Genomic DNA, 27,286 nt, shown 5'->3' on the forward strand with positions numbered 1-27,286 from the left:
TCATACTTGTAATCCCAGCACTTTGGGAGGCCAAAGCGGGTGGATCATGAGGTCAAGAGATGGAGACCATCCTGGCCAACATGGTGAAACCTCGCCTCTACTAAAAATACAAAAATTAGTTGGGCATGGTGGCGCATGCCTGTAGTCCCAGCTATTCAGGAGCCTGAGGCAGGAGAATCACTTGAACCCGTGAGGCGGAGGTTGCAGTGAGCCGAGATCGAGCCACTGCACTCCAGCCAGGCAGCCTGGCAACAGAGTGAGACTCCGTCTCAACAAAAAAAAAAAAAAGAAAGAAAAAAAGAAAATGACTTCAACCCAAGCCTTAATCAATCCAACACCTTTCCAAGATATACTACCGAAGTAGAAACAAAAAAAAAAAATTCAAGGATTCCACACACAACAAAAGAGAGCCATCACAAAAAAGACATGGCAAAATTAACATACAGATTATTCCACTGTTGGAAAGAGCATACAGTAAGAATGTTTTAAGCAATAATATCTATATAAAACATAAAACTTCAAGAAATAAAAAACATAAGTACTTTTTTTCTTTTTTTTGAGATGAGGCCTCGTTCTGTCACGCAGGCTGAAGTGCAGTGGAGCAATCTCGGATCACTGCAGCCTCCACCTCTCAGGTTCAAATGGCCTCCTGCCTCAGCCTCCCAAGACGGTGGGTTTACAAGCATCTGCCACCATGCCCAGCTAATTTTTGTATTTTTAGTAGAGACGGGATTTCGCCATGTTGGCCAGGATGCTCCCAAACTCCTAATCTCAGGTGATCCACCCGCCTCAGCCTCCCAAAGTGCTGGGATTACAGGTATGAGTCACCACACCCAGCCTAAAATTTTTAATTCAGTGTAAAAGTGCAAGAGTTGAATAGAGAAAGAATTAGTGAATTAATTCTTAAAAATCCATCTAAAATGCAATTCAAAGACACAGAAAAAAACTATGTAAGAGCAGTCAAGAGATACAAAGAATAGAATAAAAGAGGTCTAAACAAAATACTTCTAAATCTACCTGTGATACAGGAGACCGTTTTTTAAATTGCCAATCCATTGGAGAGAAAAACTTTTGTAAAATGCAATGAAAATTAATTTTTTTAAAAATTATATGCTTATTAGGTAATGTCAATTAGATATAAAAGTTTCTAAATGCTTTCTCTGAATTTGTTTTTACTTCTTCACAGACCAGTAAAATCAGTTTGCAGACCAGCACTGATCTGAAGATCACAGGTTGAGTACCAATGGTCTAAAACACAAGTAGATCAGAATTATAAAAGGATATAAACGAATATAGGCCAGGCACGGTAGTTCACACTTGTAATCCCAGCACTTTGGGAAGCCAAGGCAGGCAGATCACTTGAACCCAAGAGTTCAAGACCAGCCTGGGCAACATGGCAAGAACCTGCCTCTACAAAAAATACAAACATTACATGGGCGGAGCCCCCTTGGCATATGAGGCTCTGCACTGCCCTGGGAGTGTAAAGTCCTCACCAGCAAAAAGGCTCTCATCAGATGTGAACCCTTGACCTTGGACTTCTCAGCCTTAAAGCCTAGATCCCTTCCAAGATGGCCAAATAGGAACAGCTTCAGTCTGCAGCTCCCAGAGTGACGGACGCAGAAGACGGGTGATATCTGCATTTCCAACTGAGGTACCTGGTTCATCTCATTGGGACTGGTTGGACATTGGGTGCAGCCCACGGAAGGCAAGCTGAAGCAGGGTGGGGCATTGACTCAACCGGGAAGTGCAAGGGGTCAGGGATTTCCCTTTCCTAGCCAAGGGAAGCCGTGACAGACTGTACCTGGAAAAACGTAACACTCCCACCCAAAAACTGCGCTTTGCTCAAGGTCTTAACAACCGGCAGACAAGGAGATTCTCTCCTGTGCCTGGCTCGGTGGTTCCCACACCCACGGAGCCTTGCTCACTGCTAGCGCAGCAGTCTGAGATTGAACCACGAGGCGGCAGCCTGGCTGGGGGAGGGGCGTCCCCCATCGCTGAGGCTTCAGTAGGTAAACAAAGCTGCCAGGAAGCTCGAACTGGGCGGAGCCCACTGCAGCTCAGCACACCCTGCAGCCGCTAGACTCCACCTCCGTACACAGGCCTTAGCTGGACAAAAGGCAGCAGACAACTTCTGCAGATTTAAACGTCCCTGTCTGACGGCTCTGAAGAGAGCAGTGGTTCTCCCAACACAGCGTTTGAGCTCTGAGAATGGATGGACTGCCTCCTCAATTGGGTCCCTGAACCCGTGTAGCCAAACTGGGAGACACCTACCAATAGGGGCCGACAGACACCTCATATAAGCGGGTGCCCCTCTGGGACGAAGCTTCCAGAGGAAGGATCAGGCAGGTTCTGCAATATTTGCTGTTCTGCAGCCTCCGCTGGTGATACCCAGGCAAACAGAGTCTGGAGTGGACCTCCAGCAAACTCCAACAGACCTGCAGCTGAGGGACCTGACTGTTAGAAGGAAAACTAACAAACAGAAAGGAATAGCATCAACACCAACAAAAAGGACATCTACACCAAAACCTCATCTGCAGGTCACCAACATCAAAGACCAAAGGTGGATAAAATCACAAAGATGGGGAGAAACCAGAGCAGAAAAGCTGAAAATTCCAAAAATCAGAGTGCCTCTTCTCCTCCAAAACATTGCAGCTCCTTGCCAGCAATGGAATAAAGCTGTACAGAGAACGACTTTGACAAGTTGACAGAAGTAGGCTTCAGAAGGTCAGTAATAACAAACTTTTCCGAGCTAAAGGAGCATGTTTGAACACATCGCAAGGAAGCTAAAAACCTTGAAAAAATGTTAGATGAATGGCTAACTAGAACAAACAGTGTAGAGAAGACCTTAAATGATGTCATGGAGATGAAAACCATGGCATGAGAACTACGCAACGCATGCACAAGCGTCAACAGCCGATTTGATCAACTAGAAGAAAGGGTATCAGTGATTGAAGATCAAATCAATGAAACAAAGCAAGGAGACAGGGTTAGAGAAAAAAGAGTAAAAAGAAACAAACAAAGCCTCCAAGAAATATGTGACTGTGTGAAAAGACCAAATCTACATTTGATTGGTGTACCTGAAAGTGATGGGGAGAATGGACCCAAGTTGGAAAACAGTCTTCAGGATATTATCCAGGAAAAATTCCCCAACCTAGCAAGGCAGGCCAACATTCAAATTCAGGAAATACAGAGAACACCATAAAGATACTCCTCAAGAAGAGCAACCCCAAGACACACAATTGTCAGATTCACTAAGGTTGAAATGAAGGAAAAAATGTTAAAGGCAGCCAGAGAGAAAGGTCGAGTTACCCACAAAAGGAAGCCCATCAGACTAACAGCGGACCTCTCGGCAGAAACCCTACAACCCAGAAGACAGTGGGGGCCAATATTCAACATTCTTAAAGAAAGAATTTTCAACCCAGAATTTCATATCCAGCCAAACTAAGCTTCATAAATAAAGGAGAAATAAAATCCTTTACACACAAGCAAATGCTGAGAGATTCTGTCACCACCAGGCCTGCCTTACAAGAGCTCCTGAAGGAAGCACTAAACACGGAAAGAAACAACCGGTACAAGCCACTGCAAAAACATGCCAAATTGTAAAGACCATCAATGCTATGAAGAAACTGCATCAATTAAAGGGCAAAATAACCAGGGAACATCATAATGACAGGATCAAATTCACACATAACAATATTAACCTTAAATGTAAATGGACTAAATGCCCCAATTAAAAGACGCGGACTGGCAAATTGGATAAAGAGTCAAGACCCATCACTGGGCTGTATTCAGGAGACCCATCTCACGTGCAATGACGCACATAGGCTAAAAATAAAGGGATGGAGGAAGATCTACCAAGCAAATGGAAAGCAAAAAAAAGCAGGGGTTGCAATCCTAGTCTCTGATAAAAACAGACTATAAACCAATAAAGATCCAAAGAGACAAAGAAGGCCATTACATAATGGTAAAGGGATCAATTCAACAAGAAAAGCTAACTATCCTAAATATATATACACCCAATACAGGAGCACCCAGATTCATAAAGCAAGTCCTTAGAGACCTACAAAGAGACTTAGACTCCCACACAATAATAATGGGAGACTTTAACACCCCACTGTCAATATTAGACAGATCAACAAGACAGAAGGTTAACAAAGATATCTAGGACTTGAACTCAGCTCTGCACCAAGCTGACCTAAGAGATATCTACAGAACTCTCCACCCCAAGTCAACAGAACATACATTCTTCTCAGCACCATATCGCACTTATTCTAAAACTGACCACATAATTGGAAGTAAAGCACTCCTCAGCAAATGTAAAAGAACATAAATCACAACAAACTGTCTCTCAGACCACAGTGCAATCAAATTACAACTCAGGATTAAGAGAGTCATCAAAACCACACACTACTACATGGAAAATGAACAACTTATTCCTGAATGACTACTGGGTAAATATCGAAATGAAGGCTGAAATAAAGATGTTCTTTGAAACCAATGAGAACAAAGACACAATGTACCAGAATCTCTGGGACATATTTAAAGCAGTGTGTAGAGGGAAATTTATAGCTCTAAATGCCCACAGAAGAAAGCAAGAAAGATCTAAAATCGACACCCTAACATCACAATTAAAAGAAATAGAGAAGGAAGAGCAAACAAAAAAAAAGCTAGCAGAAGGCAAGAAATAACTAAGATCAGAGCAGAACTGAAGGAAATAGAGACACAAAAATCCCTTCAAAAAAATCAATGAATCCAAGAGCTGGTTTTTTGAAAAGATCAACAAAACTGATAGACTGCTAGCAAGACTAATAAAGAAGAAAGGAGAGAAGAATCAAATAGATGCAATAAAAAATGATAAAGGGGATATCACCACCTATTACACAGAAATACAAACTACCATCAGAGGATACTATAAACACCTCTAGGCAAATAAACTAGAAAATCTAGAAGAAATAGATGAATTCCTGGATACATACAAGACTAAACCAAGACTAAACCAGCAAGAAGTTGAATCTCTGAATAGAACAATCACAGGCTCTGAAATTGAGGCAATAATTAACAGCCTACCAACCAAAAAAAAGTCCAGGACCAGACGGATTCACAGCTAAATTCTACCAGAGGTACAAAGAGGAGCTGGTACCATTCCTTCTGAAAGTATTCCAATCAATAGACAAAGAGGAAATCCTCCCTAACTCATTTTATGAGGCCAACATCTTCCCGATACCAAAGCCTGGCAGAGACACAACAGAAAAAAAGAATTTTAGACCAATATCTCTGAAGAACATTGATGTGAAAATTCTCAATAAAATACTGGCAAACCGAATCCAGCATCACATCAAAAAGCTTACCCACCATGATCAAGTCAGCTTCACCCCTGGGATGCAAGGCTGATTCAACATACGCAAATCAATAAACATAATCCATCACATAAACAGAACCAATGATAAAAACCACATGATTATCTTAATAGATGCAGAAAAGGCCTTCGACAAAATTCAACAGTATTTCATGCTAAAAACTCTCAATAAACTAGGTATTGATGGAACATATCACAAAATACTAAGAGCTATTTATGACAAACCCACAGCCAATATCATACCGAATGGGCAACAACCGGAAGCATTTCCTTGGAAAATCGGCACAAGACAAGGATGCCCTCTCTCACCACTCGTATTCAACATAGGGTTGGAAGTTCTGGCCAGGGCAATCAGGCAAGACAAAGAAATAAAAGGTATTTAATTAGGAAAAGAGGAAGTCAAATTGTCCCTGTTTGCAGATGACATGATTGTATATTTAGAAAACCCCATCGTCTCAGCCCAAAATCTCCTTAAGCTGATAAGCAACTTCAGCAAAGTCTCAGGATACAAAATCAATGTGAAAAAATCACAAGCATTCCTATATACAAATAACAGACAAACAGAGAGCCAAATCACAAGTGAATTCCCATTCACAATTGCTACCAAGAGAATAAAATGCCTAAGAATCCAACTTACAAGGGATGTGAAGGACTTCTTCAAGGAGAACTACAAACCACTGCTCAATGAAATAAAAGAGGATACAAACAAATGGAAGAACATCCCACGCTCACGGATAGGAAGAATCAATATTGTGAAAATGGCCATACTGCCCAAGGTAATTTATAGATTCAATGCCATCCCCATCAAGCTACCAATGACTTGCTTCACAGAATTGGAAAAAACTACTTTAAAGTTCATGTGGAACCAAAACAGAACCCGCGTTGCCAAGACAATCCTAAGCAAAAAGAACAAAGCTGTAGGCATCACACTACCTGACTTCAAAATACACTACAAGGCTACAGTAACCAAAACAGCATGGTACTGGTTCCAAAACAGAGATATAAACCAATGGAAAAGAACAGAGGCCTCAGAAAGAATACCACAATGGCCATACTGCCCAAGGTAATTTACAGATTCAATGCCATCCCCATCAAGCTACCAATGACTTTCTTCACAGAATTGGAAAAAACTACTTTCAAGTTCATATGGAACCAAAAAAGAGCCCACATTGCCAAGTCAATCCTAAGCCAAAAGAACAAAGCTGGAGGCATCATGCTACCTGACTTCAAACTATACTACAAGGCTACAGTAACCAAAGAAGCATGGTACTGGTCCCAAAACAGAGATATAGATCAATGGAACAGAACAGAGCCCTCAGAAATAACGCCGCATATCTACAACTATCTGATCTTTGACAAACCTGACAAAAACAAGCATTGGGGAAAGGATTCCCTATTTAATCAATGGTGCTGGGAAAACTGGCTAGCCATATGGAGAAAGCTGAAACTGGAACCCTTCCTTACACCTTATACAAAAATCAATTCAAGATGGATTAAAGACTTAAACGTTAGACCTAAAACCATAAAAACCCTAGAAGAAAACCTAGGCATTGCCATTCAGGATATAGGCATGGGCAAGGACTTCATGTCTAAAACACCAAAAGCAATGGCAACAAAAGCCAAAATTGACAAATGGGATCTAATTAAACTAAAGAGCTTCTGCACAGCAAAAGAAACTACCATCAGAGTGAACAGGCAACCTACAAAATGGGAGAAAATTTTCGCAACCTACTCATCTGACAAAGGGCTAATATCCAGAATCTACAATGAACTCAAACAAATTTACAAGAAAAAAACAAACAACCCCATCAAAAAGTGGGCAAAGGATATGAACCGACACTTCTCAAAAGAAGACATTTATGCAGCCAAAAGACACATGAAAAAATGCTCATCATCACTGGCCATCAGAGAAATGCAAATCAAAACCACATGAGATATCATCTCACACCAGTTAGAATGGCAATCATTAAAAAGTCAGGAAACAACAGGTGCTGGAGAGGATGTGGAGAAATAGGAACACTTTTACACTGTTGGTGGGACTGTAAACTAGTTCAACCATTGTGGAAGTCAGTGTGGCGATTCCTCAGGGATCTAGAACTCGAAATACCATTTGACCCAGCCATCCCATTACTGGGTATATGCCCAAAGGACTATAAATCATGCTGCTATAAAGACACATGCCCACGTATGTTTATTGCGGCATTATTCACAATAGCAAAGACTTGGAACCAACCCAAATGTCCAACAATGATAGACTGGATTAAGAAAATGTGGCACATATACACCATGGAATACTATGCAGCCATAAAAAATGATGAGTTCATGTCCTTTGTAGGGACATGGATGAAATTGGAAATCATCATTCTCAGTAAACTATCGCAAGAACAAAAAACCAAACACCACATATTCTCACTCATAGGTGGGAATTGAACAATGAGAACACATGGACACAGGAAGGGGAACATCACACTCTGGGGACTGTTGTGGGGTGGGGGGAGGGGGGAGGGATAGCATTGGGAGATATACCTAATGCTAGATGACGAGTTAGTGGGTGCAGCGCACCAGCATGGCACATGTATACATATGTAACTAACCTGCACATTGTGCACATGTACCCTAAAACTTAAAGTATAATAATAATAAATAGATTTTTAAAATTACCATAATAATTGACCTATTATCCTCTATGAGTCTCATCATCTGATACAGATTTATTCTCAATTATATAAAAATCATCAGTTATTGTTAAATAAGAAACTCAGTATATGTAGATCCTCCAGTCTCTTGGATTTACATATATAGTTTTAATTGTCCAATAATATTGTAAAAGTTAATATCCTTTCAATGTATCTGATTTAAAATTACCACAGAGTATTGTGGGATTAAAGGAGTACTGTGTCAAGGGAAAAAAAAAAAAAAGAAAGAAAGTTTTCTCATCTATTCTGGTGACACTGTGGCTGACAGTATCTACTTTAAAATGGAAGTGAGAAAATCCAGCACCCGGATTTCAACCGGGGACCTCTTGATCTGCAGTCAAATGCTCTGCCCCCTGAGATATACCCCCTTCACCTGTTAGAAGCTCCTTCCTTGTCCACTTATGGTGACTCAATACAATCAAGTTCCACCCACACTAGAGTTCTGGCAAGCTATGTGTTCTAAAGCCCCACCTTCTTAATTATCCATCATCTGCTTTGGCTTGTCCCTTGGCCACTAATAAACTGAAAGGGAACACTTGAAAAATGACAGACAAAAAAAAAAAAATACCACACAACTACAACCATCTGATCTTTGACAAACCTGACAAAAACAAGAAATGGGGAAACAATTCCCTATTTAATAAATGGTGCTGGGAAAACTGGCTAGCCATATGGAGAAAGCTGAAACTGGATCCCTTCCTTACACCTTATACAAAAATTAATTCAAGATGGATTAAAGACTTAAATGTTAGACCTAAAACCATAAAAACCCTAGAAGAAAACCTAGGCAATACCATTCAGGACATAGGCATGGGCAAGGACTTCATGTCCAAAACACCAAAAGCAATGACAACAAAAGCCAAAATTGACAAATGGGATCTAATTAAACTAAAGAGTTTCTGCACAGCAAAAGAAACTACCATCAGAGTGAACAGGCAACCTACAGAATAGGAGAAAATTTTTGCAATCTACTCATCTGACAAAGAGCTAATATCCAGAATCTACAAAGAACTCAAACAAATTTACAAGAAAAAAACAAACAACCCCATCAAAAAGTGGGCGAAGGATATGAAAAGACACTTCTCAAAAGAAGACATCTACGCGGCCAACAGACACGTGAAAAAATGCTCATCATCACTGGCCATCAGAGAAATGCAAAGCAAAACCACAATGAGATACCACCTCACACCAGTGAGAATGGCGATCATTAAAAAGTCAGGAAACAACAGGTGCTGGAGAGGATGTGGAGAAATAGGAACACTTTTACACTGTTGGTGGGACTGTAAACCAGTTCAACCATTGTGGAAGACAGTGTGGTAATCCCTCAAAGATCTAGAACTCGAAATACCATTTGACCCAGCCATCCCATTACTAGGTATATACCCAAAGGATTATAAATCATGCTACTATAAAGACACATGCATACGTATGTTTATTGTAGCACTATTCACAATAGCAAAGACTTGGAACCAACCCAAATGTCCATCAATGATGGACTGGATTAAGAAAATGTGGCACATATACACCATGGAATACTATGCAGCCATAAAAAGGATGAGTTCATGTCCTTTGCAGGGACATGGATGAAGCTGGAAACCATCATTCTCAGCAAACTATCACAAGGACAGAAAACCAAATACCACATGTTCTCACTCATAGGTGGGACCTGAACGAGATCACTTGGACATAAGGCGGGGAACATCACACACTGGGGCCTGTTAGGGGGTAGGGGGCTGGAGGAGAGATAGCATTAGGAGAAATACCTAATGTAAATGACGAGCTGATGGGTGCAGCAAACCAAAATAGCACATGTTTACCTATGTATCAAACCTGCACATTCTGCACATGTACCCTAGAACTTAAAGTATAATAATAATAAAAAAAAGTCTCCTGGGTGGCGCACAACTGTAGTTCCAGCTACTACAGAGGCGGAGTTGGGAAGATCGCTTGAGCCCAGGAAGCAGAGGTTGCAGTGAGCCAAGATAGCGCCACTGCACTCCAATCTGGGCAACAAAAAAGACTTTTTTTTTTAAACAAAGAATATAAAAGAGAGGATATGAACAGTATCCAAATAAATAATCGTTGAAATTTTTCCAGACTAACTGAAGTCACAGATGGAAGGTCTGAGATGCAAGAAAAAACTGAGAGTAAAGATGCAGGTATATATGTGGGTAATTCCTTAACAGTTTAAAGGCTAAATCCACCAAAATTACTAGAACACAATCCCTGACCAGACTAGCTTTTTCTTTTTTTTTTTTCCTAACTAAGAATAAGGGCTAGATGTACTATAAATAAACAAAATAAGGACAAGAGGACTTAGTAAAGAAAGTTATTGGAGACCAAATTTCAAGAGCTAAAGATTCCCTCTCCCAGTAGAAATATACTGTCCCTACTGCCAAAACTGTGTTTAGTTTATTAAATTAGGGTGAATTTTTAATGTGCAACTTTATGAAATAAAAAAATTACAGTCTTATATTAGCTAAGGCTGAATATATTTTCAATTATATTGAAACAAACAGGATTCCAATTTCCACTAACTGTCGTCTTCAATGTGAGGTGAGCTATATAATACTTTGGCATACTCTACCTGTCAAATCTTCCAAGCACAACAGATTCTTTTACTTTTAAATGCAGTTCATTTAAAAGACCCTGCTAAGACTTCCAGAAGAAATCAAATGTAAATTCAAACTTACTTAGTAAAACTATGAAATTATGGCATTACACCTCCTAAAACAGAATCATAACTAATAGTTATATAAATGGTGTTTTTTCAAATATTTAACAGATACCTAATTGAAGCATCACAATAACCTCATGGAATCCTGGCTTTATAGAACAGATATAATAATGGGTAAAAGCTTAGAATGTAAAAGAACATAGTGAACGGCATTAAAAAATACACAGAAAAGGATACATAAATTGAATGTAACAATGTAAAGAGAAAAAGATGTCCAAAATCTAATCAACAGCTGCTTCTTAGCAGCATTCCCCATCAAATGAAATTGAAAGGACAATCATTAGGCATACATAGTAGATAAACTAAACGAAATGATGCATTAACTTATTTGATTCATTGTCATCAATATGAACGAGATTGATGAACAAAATTTAGCAAGATTACTTTTTAAATTTAATTGCTTATTGAGCCTTAATAAGACTCATATGGTACTACCTCCAAGGGTAGAAAAAAAGCTGGCCTGAGTGATTAAAACTTCCATCAGGTATAAATAAGTAAAGGCAGAGTGTGGCAAAAATTGTCATCCATACTTAATCATGAACAATTAAAAGTATAAGCCATTCTGAAAAGCTGAGGGGTAAGGTCTTTAAATAAGAAAACTTCTCCAAACTAGACCATAGCTATATTGATTCAAAGTTAATGCCTCAGCAGATACAAAACACCAAACATCTTTACTGAGTGGTTTAGAAAAAAGTTGAATTTAAGCTGGAAATTTATGAAGTTAAAAAAAAGAAAATGCCTTATTTCAGCCAGACACAATGTTCAGGCTAGAAGAATATGTGGCCTTATCATTTCAAACTTTGGTTGCCCACACCAAATTTAACTATCAAACCATTCTGATATAAAGAAAAAGAAAAATATTCCATAGTGCCTTCTGAGTTTTTACTCAATTATAATTACATTTGTACATATGTTTTTTAGCTGCTTCAAGTCTTTTCTGTGGAGAAAAAAAAAAGGTAGGCTTTAAAAAAAAATCCCTACATATATAGATACATCCATGCATAGAAAATGTTCCCAAAACTAACCATTTCACTTGTACTTCCTGATCCCTACTTGAAACATAAATAAGTAGGCAAATTTTTAAGATATATTAAACATTAATATACTTTATAAGTAGATTTTTAAGTAAAAGCAAACTGCAAATTTTTTTTCAATAAAATCAAGCCACAAAGCCAAAATTCTTTATCATAAGATGTGCAAATGGCTTAAAATTTTAGGGAGTGGGTGGGAAAGACTAGTAGTTGAACTCTAAATCTGTCAAAAGAGGATGCAAGCTTACTACAGGAAGATTCTAATAACTGAAATCCCTGAATGTTTTAAGATTAAGATCATAGAACAGGGGATCACAAGCTTTCCCACCTAAACATCCCTAAATAAATGCCACAACAGACAATGACCTCATACATATGAGAGTCTGGGAATAGAACCCAAAATTGCTATAGTGTCAATTTTCTGCCACATTAAGTATATGATCTTAAAATAATTGTGCTAATTCCTTTTTGACTCTACAATATCTCACTAAAAATCATACTTAAAAAGAATGTACCACATTGATATTTGTGTTTTTTTTTTGTTTTTTTTTTTTTAATTTATTTTTTTATTGATAATTCTTGGGTGTTTCTCACAGAGGGGGATTTGGCAGGGTCATGGGACAATAGTGGAGGGAAGGTCAGCAGATAAACAAGTGAACAAAGGTCTCTGGTTTTCCTAGGCAGAGGACCCTGCGGCCTTCCGCAGTGTTTGTGTCCCTGATTACTTGAGATTAGGGATTGGTGATGACTCTTAACGAGCATGCTGCCTTCAAGCATCTGTTTAACAAAGCACATCTTGCACCGCCCTTAATCCATTTAACCCTGAGTGGACACAGCACATGTTTCAGAGAGCACAGGGTTGGGGGTAAGGTCACAGATCAACAGGATCCCAAGGCAGAGGAATTTTTCTTAGTGCAGAACAAAATGAAAAGTCTCCCATGTCTACTTCTTTCTACACAGACACGGCAACCATCCGATTTCTCAATCCCTTCCCCACCCTTCCCGCCTTTCTATTCCACAAAGCAGCCATTGTCATCCTGGCCCGTTCTCAATGAGCTGTTGGGCACACCTCCCAGACGGGGTGGTGGCCGGGCAGAGGGGCTCCTCACTTCCCAGTAGGGGCGGCCGGGCAGAGGCGCCCCTCACCTCCCGGACGGGGCGGCTGGCCGGGCGGGGGGCCGACCCCCCCCACCTCCCTCCCGGACGGGGCGGCTGGCCGGGCGGGGGGCCGACACCCCCACCAACCTCCCGGACGGGGCTGCTGGCCAGGCGGGGGGCCGACCCCCCCACCTCCCTCCCGGACGGGGCGGCTGGCCGGGCGGGGGGCCGACCCCCCCACCTCCCTCCCGGACGGGGCGGCTGGCCGGGCAGAGGGACTCCTCACTTCCCAGTAGGGGCGGCCGGGCAGAGGCGCCCCTCACCTCCCAGACGGGGCGGCTGGCCGGGCGGAGGGCTGACCCCCCCACCTCCCTCCCGGACAGGGCGGCTGGCCGGGCGGGGGGCTGACCCCCCAACCTCCCTCCCGGACGGGGCGGCTGGCCGGGCAGAGGGGCTCCTCACTTCCCAGTAGGGGCGGCTGGGCAGAGGCGCCCCTCACCTCCCAGACGGGGCGGCTGGCCGGGCGGAGGGCTGACCCCCCCACCTCCCTCCCGGACGGGGCGGCTGGCCAGGCGGGGGGCTGACCCCCCCACCTCCCTCCCGGACGGCACGGCTGGCCAGGCGGGGGGCTGACCCCCCACCTCCCTCCCGGACGGGGCGGCTGGCCAGGCGGGGGGCTGACCCCCCCACCTCCCTCCCGGACGGCACGGCTGGCCAGGCGGGGGGCTGACCCCCCCACCTCCCTCCCGGACGGCACGGCTGGCCAGGCGGGGGGCTGACCCCCCCACCTCCCTCCCGGACGGCACGGCTGGCCAGGCGGGGGGCTGACCCCCCCACCTCCCTCCCGGATGGGGCGGCTGGCCGGGCTGGGGGCTGACCCCCCCCCACCTCCCTCCCGGACGGGGTGGCTGCCGGGCGGAGATGCTCCTCACTTCCCAGATGGGGTGGCTGCCGGGCGGAGAGGCTCCTCACTTCTCAGACGGGGCAGCTGTCGGGCGGAGGGGCTCCTCACTTCTCAGACGGGGTGGTTGCCAGGCGGAGGGTCTCCTCACTTCTCAGACGGGGCGGCCGGGCAGAGACGCTCCTCACCTCCCAGACGGGGTCTCGGCCGGGCAGAGGCGCTCCTCACATCCCAGATGGGGCGGCGGGGCAGAGGCGCTCCCCACATCTCAGACGATGGGCGGCCGGGCAGAGACGCTCCTCACTTCCTAGATGTGATGGCGGCTGGGAAGAGGCGCTCCTCACTTCCTAGATGGGATGGCGGCCGGGCGGAGACGCTCCTCACTTTCCAGACTGGGCAGCCAGGCAGAGGGGCTCCTCACATCCCAGACGATGGGCGGCCAGGCAGAGACACTCCTCACTTCCCAGACGGGGTGGCGGCCGGGCAGAGGCTGCAATCTCGGCACTTTGGGAGGCCAAGGCAGGCGTCTGCTCCTTGCCCTCGGGCCCGCGGGGCCCGTCCGCTCCTCCAGCCGCTGCCTCCCGGGCGGCGCTCCTCAGCATTTCTTTACTCTTTTTTTTTTTTGAGACGGAGTCTTGCTGTCACCCAGCCTGGACTTACACCATGTTCTTTAAGGTGGGAGCCTACTGATTTCCCCCGACCCCAGACTGGGCGGCGGCCTCCAGCTTGCCCTCGAAGGTGAAGTCCAGCAAGTCGGGCTTGAGGCAAAGGCTGCAGTTGATGGGGGAGACATCGGCAGGCAGCCGCTCGAAGGGCCTCTTCTCCGGCATCGCGGCGAGGCCCAGGCTGTGGAGGCGGCGGCCACCACATTGATATTTGTACTTCTTCACATACTCAGCTCTAAAGAGTTGAACTAGAGGGTCTCACCTTTTCTGTTCAAACCAGAACTGTATACCTTTGTGAAAGAGCACATATTTTATATTTGAAGGAAAGCTAATCTAATAAATTCCTAGGTTTAATCAGTGATTGTCTCCTAGAATCAACTTTACTTACACACACACACACACACGCGCGCGCACACCCCACTAGTGAGATGTTTTACTTTTAAACATGTATTTCTTGAATGCTTGACCCTTACAATGTATCATGTACTGTATTATAGAAGTATAATCGATAACCATGTTATAGACAACTTTTTTCAACAATTAAGGATTAACTCTACTATTACATTGCAAATATTAGCAAGAAAATCAACCGGAGATAATGCATGCCTTGTTTTCACCTAATTATAAAAATTATCTTAAAAGGTTATGACTTATATAATTAGAAGTCATAATTATGCATAATTATATATTTGAGTTTAAATTATATTAAATTAAATATTCTGAATTTAAATTATCTTTGTTTTATAATTAAGCCATTCTCATAATTTGTATAAAAATCCTTTAACAAAAAAATTAGATCTAATCTAAAATTTTAAGAAAGACCTTTTTTTTTTAAAAAAAGTCATTAATTTTCAGTCATCTTTTGGACTGACATTTACATGTAAAGAGATATAGGTTATTATTTTTGCATTTAAATTATCTACAAGGGTAAATAAAAATCATTAACAAAAGATTGTTTTGAATTTTCAAATTTAAATTAGTGGACTTCCTAAACTTTGGGATAATTTCGGTAAATGTTTTTTGCTTCAAAATTACAAACTTCTATACAATTATAAATGTAATTTTCACCTAACTTATTTAATTTGAGATAAATTCAAAGATATCATGAATAGTTATTATAACTTTTAACTACACTATATTTGAGATACTTATTTTTATAACACTTTAAGAAAAAAATTACAGGTCATGCATTATTCCCACTTCTTTTTATTGTTAATTTATCTCATTTATAAAAAGTGATCTCTGTGTTCTGGGGGAAAAAAAGCTTTCACTATGACATTATATCCATTTTCTCTCTTCAATAAATTTATAAAATTTTCACAGTTAAGTGTAACTTATTCAAAAAATGTTAGTTAACAAGATTTTTAAGTACATTTTATTAGCAAAGTTCCTAGAATCACTTAGATCCCTAAATTTAATTTCCTAGTTAGTTACTGAAAGGATTACTTAACTACTATAATCAGATACCTTTACAACATCAACAAAATCAATGGAACAAAATGTCAAAATAGAAGAAATCTGTCATGTTTCTGCTGGGAGCCACTTATTCCTATATATTCTAATATAAAAAGATGATGTAAAACAAAATAAACAGTTACTGGATTTATCATGGTTTTCTCCTTTGTGAATTAAGCACAAACTTAATGGTCAATGCCAGTCAAAACAGCTTCTTCACAGTTATACACATAAACTAAACAATGAATATATAAAAATATATCCTTTTCTCCAGAGGAAGCCCAGTTAACTTCCTGAACAGGAAGAATTAAAAACAACCAAAGAAACAAACAAAAAAAATGCAACATGCTGTACCAAGTACCAGAAAAAATTCATCAATGAGTGTATTTTTGTTGTTGAGAAATTTTCAACTCTAAAAAAGGTAATATTACAAACATCTGTGTTCCCACCAACTAGAATTTATAACAAATGACATTCACGTTATGCAATCAAATTCACATAAATATGAAACCATATTTGGTTCACTTTATGTACACATAAAGGAATAACTAGAGATAAAGTTGACGCCCACTGTTCACCACCCCCAGTGGCATTCCCCTTCTTTACCTCCTTACTAGCAACCACTATCATGAAATTGGTATGTGGCCTCCTAATTCATTTTCCACATTGTCAGTTACATATTTAAATAACAGAATGTGTTTCATATATTTTTTCAGTTTTCATAAATGATACCATACTGAAAGTACTTGCTTCTTTTAATTCCACATTTTTGAGATCTACTACTGTATCTATCGATCTACTTTGTTCCTTTTAACTATGCTTTTATCAAGTAGCGAATCACATATGCATAGCACATTTTATTTATCCATTCCCCTGCTGATGGACATTTAGGTTATTTCTAATTTTTCACAATGTCAATGCTTTAACACATATCCTTTCTGTACAAGTTTCTTTGTTCACTTGTGTTTCTCTAAAAGACAGTTTCTCAACCTCAGAATTCTTGATATGTTGGGCCAGATAATTCTTTTATTATGGGGGGGTCTGTCCTATAAATTGCAGAATGTTTAACAGCAACCCTGGCTTCTACCCACTAGAAGCCAACATTACTCCTGAGGTGTGACAACAAAAAGTATCTCCAAGCATTGCCAAATGTCCCTTGAGGGGTAAAACCGCCCCTATTCAGAACCACTGTTCTAAAGTCTATACAAAAGTAAAATTCATGGGTTATATGTATTGATATATTTTCCATTCTACCGGATACTGTCCAACTGTTCTCCAATCACTCTATCAACTTAAACTCCCACCAGCATATAATACCTCTGGGTTCCAAACATCCTTGCCAAAATTTGATAATGTATGATGATTTCAGTTTTTCCAATAAAATACATCTTTCATTTTCCAAAGGGAGACCGTCACTGGAACCATTCAAGAATAACAGGTACATATGCACCACTTCTAAGCAATTATAAGATAAAAACTCTAAGCTTAAACGAGGTAAATTACCTACATTATATTTCCTTCTTCTTTGCCTTTGTTCTGTTAGGCCCTTTTTTCTTGGCATACATGCATATTAGTATTAATATAATGAATTAATTCTAACTTTATAAAATTTATTTTACCTGTAAGCTTCAAAATTATGATACTTGGTCCACATTTCTTAATAAAACTTTCAAGAGAATACAAAGAGTTTTAAATAACTCGCTTCAAATCTTTCGAAAGAGATCATGACTTATCAAAGATTCATCACTCTTACACTTTTAATTGCTGGCCTGTACATGTAAAGGCAGACTGGATATTCACAATGGAAATAACTATTTCTAAATTCTCTATCTATAAAACAATTTATTGAGCAAACTGACTCTAAAAATGGAGTCAGATTGAATCAAGATGATAGACTAAACATACATTCTGCCTTCCCCTCCCACCCTAAATCCACAGAAATTAGATACACAATTTCTAGTTCCTGATTTTCAGTTCCCTATAAAAATTAACTGCAATTCCTGCTTATCAGTTCTATGAGATAACTTTGTAGCTTTTTAATATAAACTCTCACTTGGATAAGCAATCTTATATGGGTTTCTGTTACTGGCATTCAAAGAACCTTGTCTAACGGCACATTGAAATAATAATGATTCCACTGATAATGATTCTAACATAACCAGACTAGAAAGCCAAGGCAGGCCAGAAACTAAGAGGAATACCAGAAAGACAGAAAAGACCTTATTGTAGCTTAAAAAAAATTTTTTTTAATTAAAAAGAATCCTGTACAAATTGCTGCAAAATATAGGAGTTGCTGTTGCTCTGAGGGTGACCCAAGTACAAAAAAGTCATGTACTTGAAGCTAAAGGAATTCTTAGAGCTATCAACAACATGCATAATAAGAATACCCAGGCAGGCTACTCCTTCCCCACCTCTCACCTGCGGCACTACACCCCACGGCCAAGCAACTAGTAGGAAAAGTATCTGTCCTCTCGGGAAGGAGCAATGAGCATGGGCCCTTGATTAAAACCAAATTATTTAGAAGCCTTGTGCTCAATCTAAAGAATACATACCTCAACATTTTGTAATAAGTAATCATTAAAGATTTCTGGACAACTATATACAATGATCAAAGCAGTGTTTTAGGAAGATTAATCCAGTATCAGTAAAAATGAACTAAGGGGAGAAAAAAAATACAGATAGCAAAGTCAGTCGAGAAACAGTACAGATATAGTGGGGCCTGAAATCCAGATAGAGACCTTATGGAACAGAAAGAAAGACACAGATTAATCTAAATATATTGATAAAAATAGGTCGGGTGTGGTGGCTCACACCTGTAATCCCATCATTTTGGTTGGCGGAGGTGGGTGGTTCACTTGAGGTCAGGAGTTCAAGACCAGCCTGACCAACATGGTGAAACCCCATGTCTACTAAAAATACAAAATAAGCAGGGTATGGTGCCGCATGATTGTAATCCCAGCTACTTGGGAGGCTGAAGCAGAAGAATCACTTGAACCCGGGAGGCGGAGGTTGCAGTGAGCTGAGATCGTGCCATTGGGCTCCAGCCTGGGCAACAAGAGCAAAACTCCATCTCAATAAATAAATAAATAAATAAATAAATAAAAATATATTGATAAAAATAGAATGAACTTGTTGAACGACTTGATACGATAAGAGGAAAAGACAGGGTGAAGATTGTTTTCATTTATTTTATTTATTTATTTACTTATTTATTTATTTATTTTGAGACAGAGCCTCGCTCTGTTGCCCAGGCTGGTGTGCAGTGGCGCAATCTCGGCTCACTGCAACTGCCATCTCCCAGGTTCAAGCAATTCTCCTGCCTCGGCCTCCTGAGTAGCTAGGATTACAGGCATGCGTCACCACGCCCAGCTAATTTTTGTATTTTTAGTAGAGACGGAGTTTCACCATGTTGAGTTAGGCTGGTCTCAAACTCCTGACCTCGTGATCTGCCCACCTCGGCCTCCCAAAGTGCTAGAATTACAGGCATGAGCCACCATACACGGTCTGTTTTCATTTATTTAATCCTTAAGAAAACAGTTATTAAAATCTTTATTATAATATCCCTAGCACTTAGCATTCATTATTAAATTAATCTTAGGATTATAAGGTCTAAAATGATACTAGAGTTTGGCGCCTGAGATGGTCGTATGAGGCAATAAAGACAGAAGTCTTGAGAGAACACTAGATTAAAAATACTAATGGTTATTTCCATTTTAGAAATGCTGAGTTTTTTCCTGTGAATTTCATTTTTGTTTTAAAAAGGTATTTTTATACTAAATTTATGTATAAAAGTTTTTAACTTTGCATTATGAAGTACTTGATACATGCAAAAGAATACATGTATTAGTTACAGATATGTTACAAAGCATAAAAATAATATGAACATGATAAACTTACCTATAAACCTAAGAAGTAGAACACTACCAATATCTTCAAGCTCCTGGTATATTCCTCCATAATTCTAATCTTCTGCCCCCCTCATACATAGATAATCATTATCCCAAATTTTATCTTAATCATACCCTTTTCCTTAATGTTTTACTCTATATTTATGAACAATTAAACAATATATTGCTTAGTTTTTAACTTGTTTTGAAGTTTCTCATTGAAAATAGTATCATACGTATTTTTCAGTGAAGAAACACTACATATTTTTTCATTAAATATTATGTTTCTAAGATAATCAATGTGTACACATGTGGCTTTAGGTCATTCATTTGCACTGCTATATAACATTGCAATGTATAAATATGCCATAACTTTTTCATCCTATCTCCTACTGATGTATTTACAGGTTTTCAGTGTTACAAGCAGTGCTTTTATGAAGTATTCTTGAACATATCTCCCAGTGCACACCTCCAAGAGTTTCTCTCACACAACCACAAGTGGAATTGTGTTGAAGGTAATGTGCATGTTCCATTTTACAAGATAATGCCAAACTGTCTTTACTTTATTACAAAGACAAGTTATTAAAATTTGAAAGCCAGTACCAAAGAACAACAATGTAAAACACATGCTTAATTAAATGTATGTCACAGACAAGCAAACAAATTCACAATAAAAATAATCATCACCATTCTGAATGTCACTGCCCAGCATCACAGGCTAAAATTATATAAGCACCTCATAGGAAACTGTCTCCTTACTCCCTTCTCTTCTCTCGGTGAAATCATTACCATTTCTATGTGTTACTCTCTTGGACAAGGTTTTCTGGGTACCAATAACAGAAACCCACACAAAGTTGCTTAGCCCAAAGTGACAACTTTTATTAAAAAGAAATAATGGTCTCCCACAGAACTGATGAACAAGAATTTTACCATAGATCTTTACAAGAGTCTGGAAATCAGAACCGCAAAGCTGCCAGGAATTAAGGCTATTGCATCTCTCAGGGACTTCAGACCTCCCTGGCAGTGGGCATCATTTTGTTTCCCACATGCCAGTCCCCTCTGTTTTTATAATGACCACAGGCTAGCTATGGCTGTCTCAGCCTCAGTTTTACATGTATTTCTAGAAGAAAAGCCTTACAGAATCAAACTTGCATCTCTGCCATCCATCATTTTTAAATTGTTGAAAACTACTTAGCCCAGTTTAACATACAGTCCTACTCATGGTCCTAACAGCTATGTATCGGGAATACGAGAGTCCCACTTACATAGCTGCAAAGGCCCACCATTGGAGCAGAAGTATCACTTCTCAGACAAGAAGGGCTCAAGCTGAGCAGGCAACCAAGAAAGCATCTAGAACAATAACCAGTGAAAAACAGTATAAAGCATAAAGGAGAGCCACTCTGAGACGCCTAACTGTAATTCCACACAACTCAGAGCCCTGGAATCAGCATTTTAAGGTGAAATAAATAAATTAAATAGTCAGTAATTCTGAGAGCAGATACCAGCTTATCACTGGCTATACATACCACTCTCCATCCCAGTGTCAAAAGCCATTTATGACCCTTTCTGACAGCCTACTTTTTATGTTTCTCCTATCCCTCCCATTCTTCATCAAACTCCCTGCAGCATATGATGCAATTAACTACCCCTGACTTAAACCTCTCTCTTTACTTGATTTATCTGACGAGGTCGTCTCCTGGTTCTTTTCTGACCTGTCAGTTTTCTTTACTCGCGTATTTTTCTCTGTTTAAGTTTTAAATATAGGTACTTCTTAGATATGACACCAAAAGTATAAATAACAACAGAAAAAATAGATAAACTGGGTATCATCAAAATTTTAAATTATTGTGTTTTTCTTTTCTTTTCTTTTTTTTTTTTTTTGAGATGGAGTCTCGCTCTGTCATCCAGGCTGGAGTGCAGTGGCGCGATCTCAGCTTACTGCAAGCTCCGCCTCCAGGGTTCACGCCATTCTCCTGCCTCAGCCTCCCAAGTAGCTGGGACTACAGGTGCCCGTCACCACGCCCGGCTAATTTTTTTGTATTTTTAGTACAGACAGGGTTTCACCATGTTAACCAGGATGGTCTCAAAGTCCTGACCTCATGATCCGCCCGCCTTGGCCTCCCAAAGTGCTGAGATTACAGGCATGAGCCACTGTGCCCAGCCAAATTATTGTGTTTTTCAAACGACAACTCAACAATTCACTTTAGTCATGTGAAAAGACAAGCCACAGAATGGGGGAAAAATGTTTCTAAATCATATATGAGACTTGTATCTAGAATATATAAAGAACTCTTAAAATTCAATGATAGAAGGACAATCGACCCAATTAAAAAATAGGAAAAGAATCTGAATACACATATCTCCAAAGAAGATATTCAAATGGCCAGAAAGCACATGAAAACATGCTCAACATCATTAGTCATCATGGAAATGCAAATCAAAACCACAATGGGAAAGTAGGGAGCAAAATGGCAAAGTAGGGAGCTCCAAGTTCTCTCTACCCATTGAAACATCAAAAAATAAGCAGTAACTATAAGAACCAGTTTTGTCAAAATCATGGAACAGTCGAAGTTGTATAATAGCCAAATAAATGTTGAATCAAGAGAAAGGCAACTTCAAAAGCTTTATAATATTTTTTCATGCCCTAGCCCCATCTCTTCCCTGGTACAAATGGCGGCCTTAGGCTGTCTTCCCTGTGTGTCTTCCCTCTCTGGTTCCAGAGAGAGCAGAATAGACTGTATTTGGAAATTATTGTGTATATCTGTTCTAACCTGTCTGGGAGCTACCTTAATGACTGATGCAAGATGCTCCACTCTATTTTACCTAAGAACTCAGGCTACAAAAGCAGCAATCATCTTGAAAACATGCCAAGTAGAACTAATAACCCATAGATGCCTGAGACAAAAGATTCCTGTCTAAACATACAATAGTCACCTAATGCCCAGAAGCTGGAGATAATTTATTTGATAAATTAGGAGCATAGAGGGGAATTTGGAAGACAGCACTATAACATGCATCATCAGAAAAAACTTGTGAGAACTCTAAGCTTCCACCTTGGACTGCTTCCTAGGCTCAGTGCAAGCCTGGCTAACTATTGAAGGAGTACTCCCAAAGAGAGCCAATCCACGAAGACTGGGAGAGACATTCTTCTTCTGTTTGCTGGGTTTGTTTTTTGTTTTATCTCTTGACATTCAAGGCAGTTTTGTCACGACTCTAGCTAAACACAAGGTAAAGAACAGAGAATTTACTGACCACACATAACAAGGAATAAAGTCTTTGCAAAAACACTTTGGGAAAACAACTAAACAAGTCAGGCATGGTGGCATGTGCCTGTAGTCCCAGCTACTTGTGAGGCTGATGCAGGAGGATCCCATGAGCCCAGGAGTTCCAGCCTGGGCAACATAGTGAGACCCCATCTCTTAAAAAATAAAAACAAAATGTACTGTTACAACCTGACTCAAGAAGAAACAGAACCTAACCTGACTCAAGACTTAATAGTGTTGATCCCCATTACATTACAGGATCCTTCAGGACAAAAATTCTGTCTTGACCAATCTATGCAAGACACAGTAGAAATCCCACTAGAGTTTAAGACACACTAGACTTAAATGTGCAAAGGAAGGAAGGAAGATAGCAGTAACAATAACACTTACCTCTTATGTATTATCAGAATTATCACAGAATATACATTAAAATGAATTTGTAAAGTAGATCTTATTCAGATGCAGGATGAGTATTTTAAAAGATATATTTACTAAATGTAAATGTCATACTGCAAATCTGTCACTCTTCAATATCAAAAGTTACACTAGGGAATACTGGGCATTGATCTCAAGTTCCTGTGAAATTACTTCCATAACACAGAACTTACCTGGGTCCAAGAGAGCAAAGCACTCTTCCAGTACTCTAGAGAATACTCGATCCTGATTAGTGGTTCCCATTTCTATTTTTAGAGAGCAAGGTCTGTGACTTACTCTCATTTCTAGCCCTATGACAATGATTTTTTCAAGGAGACCAAGTATCAGTATATACAGGGGGGCATATGCAATTTGGGAACAAAAAATCATTTTGTCCATTTTTGTCTTAGAGTTACTCTGAATTTTCAAATAACATAAAAGAAGGATCTATCAAAGTGGGACATGGAGGCCAGGCATGGTGGCTCACACCTGTCAAATGCCAGCACTTTGAGGGACTAAGGCAGGAAGATCACTTCAGGCCAGGAGTTCACAACGAGCCTGGGCAACAGAGCAACATTCCATCTACAAAAACAAAAAAATTAGCCAGGCCTGGTAGCACACCTGTAGTCCCAGCTACTCAGGAGGCTGAGGTGGAAAGATCGCTTGAGCCCACGAGTTTGAAATTACAGTGAGCTATGATGGTACCACTGCACTCTACCCTGGAAGAGAGAGCAAGACTATGTCTCTTAAAAAAAAGGGGGGGGAGGCCGAGGTGGGAGGATCACGAGGTCAAGAGTTTGAGACCAGCCTGGCCAACACAGTGAAACCCCATCTCTACTAAAAATATTTAGCCAGATGTGGTGGCACATGCCTGTAGTCCCAGTTACTCAAGAGGCTGAGGCTGAACGATCACTTGAATCCGGGAGGCGGAGGCTGCAGTGAGCTGAGACCATGCCGTTGGACTCCAGCCTGGGCGAAAAGAGTGAAATTCCATCTCAAAAAAAAGAAAAAAGAAAAATGAAAAAAGTTGGGCATGGGCTGAGACGCTTGGCACCATGAGGTCCTTAGATGAAATGAACAACTTAAGACATAAAAAGACAACACCATTGAGAGTTTATGTCCACCACTCCTCTATTGCTGGGACTACCATAATGTAATAACCTCTTAAGAGGTCTACTACCTCCACTACAGCAACCACCAGAACTCATCTTAGTCAGACCAAAGTGTTCCTTACTAAGATGAAGTCTTTACTCAGCTGCAATATTTGTCTGAATTCAGTCAATCACTTATAATAAAACTGTCATTTTTTTTTTGAAATTTACTTAGTGGAGGGGACAACTGGAAGGATTATGGGATTTGGAGTCACTGCAGGCCAAGACAGCTGTTCAGAGGGAAAAAAAAAATTAAAGACCTCCTGTCAGCGACTTATCATTCAAATCTACAAAATTCAGTCCTTTTTCAAGACAAATGCAACTAATCAGCTGAAAGATACACCTTTATCCATTAAACATATTTCATATAGTTTTTTTTAACAATGTAAAATATCAAAGTTGAAAAGAACCACCTTAAACATAAGGAATAATGGCACAATTTTTTAACTAGCTCAGTGTTAACAACTATTATAGTACTTCTCAACTCCTTTTTCATGTAATCATTATATGAAATTTCTTTAACAGAGTTAGCCTGATAAAATAATAATTCACTCACTGCCATAGAATATTTCAGGAAATGAAATATTTGTAGAGCAGAGAGAATATCTACCATTTGTTTTTATTTTATACATAAACAAGGTTTATTAATCTGAGTGTTTGTTCTTGATCAAAGAAAAATAATATTCCCAGCAATCCCCAAACTAAAGCAAAAAACTGACTTAAGATTACAGACTTTGGAAGAATTAGATTTGAGGAAAGAGGGACCTGACTTCAATAACATGGACTTGCTGAGCATAAAATTCTAGGCATTTTATGTAAATCACTTCATTTTATGTAAAACTCTCAGAGGAAATTTCAGAGTGAGAAAATAAAAATCAAAAAAGGTTACAAAATTTTTCCAAGCCACCTAGCCAGTAAACAGTACAAGTAAAATTTCAGATCAGTCTTCTCTGACTCTAGGGTGTAATTCTATTATTCTCCCTTGCTTTCTCTGAAAAAATATGCCATGAGGGTGATTTCAAGCTAAAAATAAAGCAGTAAAGGATTTTTCAAAAAAAAAAAAGGGGGGTGGCTAAAGCAACATGATAGTCTAGCTAATACTTTAAATAATCTTTATTTAATACTATCAAACTTTCACACATTAACATAAATAATATTTGCGTAACTATAATGAGAGCTTTACTCAGCATCTACTGTGTCATGTTCTGCAAATAAACAGATCACAAGGACCTACCTCAAAAAGTTCATTAGTAATTACCAATTAATACACATTTCTTACCAAAACAAAGGCCCTAAATGAGATGAGCATCTTCAAGCCACCATCCCATGTACTCCTCTAACTTTGTACATGGCTTGTTCATCATATACTGATAGAACAGTCTTGTTACACATGTTCCTGGCCTGTTGCTCCTCCTGGTTGTCTGATTAGTGTCTAAAAATAGGTTAAATGCTGAGTTATTTATAATCTAAGCCTCTTTGTACAAATTTTGATATATGCTTTCTAGTGACTAGGTGGCCACCAATATCCTCCATACTACTCCTTTACTCCTTTTCAAAACATGTACCACTCTAAGGAATATATTTTATATCACAAACCCATACACATACACATTTAACTGAAACAAAATTTTTATAATAACCACCTTTACACTTACTATGCACAGTACACTTGATATTTTTAATTTTTTTTTATGCTGACAGCAGCCCATGAAGTATGTCACAAACCACTAACCTACACTAGAATACTGCTCTAGAATTCAACCCTACTAAGAGAGTGCTGAAATGACAAGAGTGGTTTTTCCTTCCTCTTCTCCGTACTGAAGTACGAAGTCAATAAGACAAGATAGGAAGGGGAAAAGCGAAGGTGCCCTCCAACACATTTGGAGAGCTAGCCCCAAAGGTCTGACTACTCCCCTGGCCACTAGCTTAGCAACAGCCAGCACCCTATTTATCCTAATCCCTCCTTTTCTTTCTCTTCCCACCCACTGGCATATTCCCAAAGGTTTTTCCTAAAAGAAGATGGTTCTTGGGGATTATTGTTATGAATGGACCTGTTTTTATTGGTTTGTTATTACTGTGAAATACATGACATAAAATTTACCATTGTGGTCAGGCACGGTGGCTCACGCCTGTAATCCCAGCACTTTGGGAGTCCAAGGCGGGGGCAGATCATGAGGTCAGGAGATCGAGACCATCCTAGCTAACATGGTGAAACCCCGTCTCTACCAAAAATACAAAAAAATTAGCAGGCATGGTGGCGGGCACCTGTAGTCCCAGCTACTCGGGAGGCTGAGGCAGGAAAATGGCATGAACCCTGGAGGCAGAGCTTGCAGTAAGCCGAGATCGCGCCACTGCACTCCAGCCTGGGTGACAGAGGGAGACTCCAACTCAAAAAAATAAAATAAAATAATTTACCATTGTAACCATTTTTAACTGTACAAATCAATGTTAAGTATATTCACAATGCTGTACCATCATTACCACTGTCTATTTTCAGAACTTTCATCATTCCAAACAGAAACTCTGCACCAATTAAACAATCATTCCCCAATGCTCCTCCTCCAGCCCATGGTAATCTCTAATTGATTTTTATAATACCATTTAATAAATATATACAAAATAAGTAAAAATA

At 40.1% G+C, this 27,286-nt stretch overlaps 1 protein-coding gene and 1 pseudogene across 65 annotated transcripts in view, besides 2 other annotated features; both read right to left on the reverse strand.

Annotated features, from left to right (window-relative positions):
- The window catches only part of TBC1D5 (TBC1 domain family member 5), a 585,470-nt gene that overhangs the window by 534,391 nt on the left and 23,793 nt on the right, over positions 1 to 27,286 (reverse strand). The window contains exon 1 of one of the 65 annotated variants that reach the window (NM_001134381.2): positions 8,426 to 8,468. The exons of the other annotated variants lie outside the window; for them this stretch is intronic. The gene's annotated coding sequence lies outside the window, so the exon portion shown is untranslated. Of the gene's footprint in view, positions 1 to 8,425; positions 8,469 to 27,286 lie in introns of those variants that run through there. 65 annotated transcript variants of the gene reach the window in all.
- Positions 1,469 to 1,970: an enhancer, noted in NCBI's record as "H3K4me1 hESC enhancer chr3:17734513-17735014 (GRCh37/hg19 assembly coordinates)". NCBI's record gives its function as "activates a minimal SCP1, AML or CMV promoter by ChIP-STARR-seq in primed H9 embryonic stem cells {active_cell/tissue: H9 hESC(primed)}" and the evidence as "EXISTENCE:reporter gene assay evidence [ECO:0000049][PMID:30033119]".
- Positions 1,971 to 2,470: an enhancer, noted in NCBI's record as "H3K4me1 hESC enhancer chr3:17735015-17735514 (GRCh37/hg19 assembly coordinates)". NCBI's record gives its function as "activates a minimal SCP1, AML or CMV promoter by ChIP-STARR-seq in primed H9 embryonic stem cells {active_cell/tissue: H9 hESC(primed)}" and the evidence as "EXISTENCE:reporter gene assay evidence [ECO:0000049][PMID:30033119]".
- On the reverse strand, positions 8,348 to 8,420 carry TRC-GCA25-1 (tRNA-Cys (anticodon GCA) 25-1; annotated as a pseudogene).

This window comes from Homo sapiens, chromosome 3 (genome assembly GCF_000001405.40).
Source record: "Homo sapiens chromosome 3, GRCh38.p14 Primary Assembly".
NCBI lineage: Eukaryota > Metazoa > Chordata > Mammalia > Primates > Hominidae > Homo > Homo sapiens.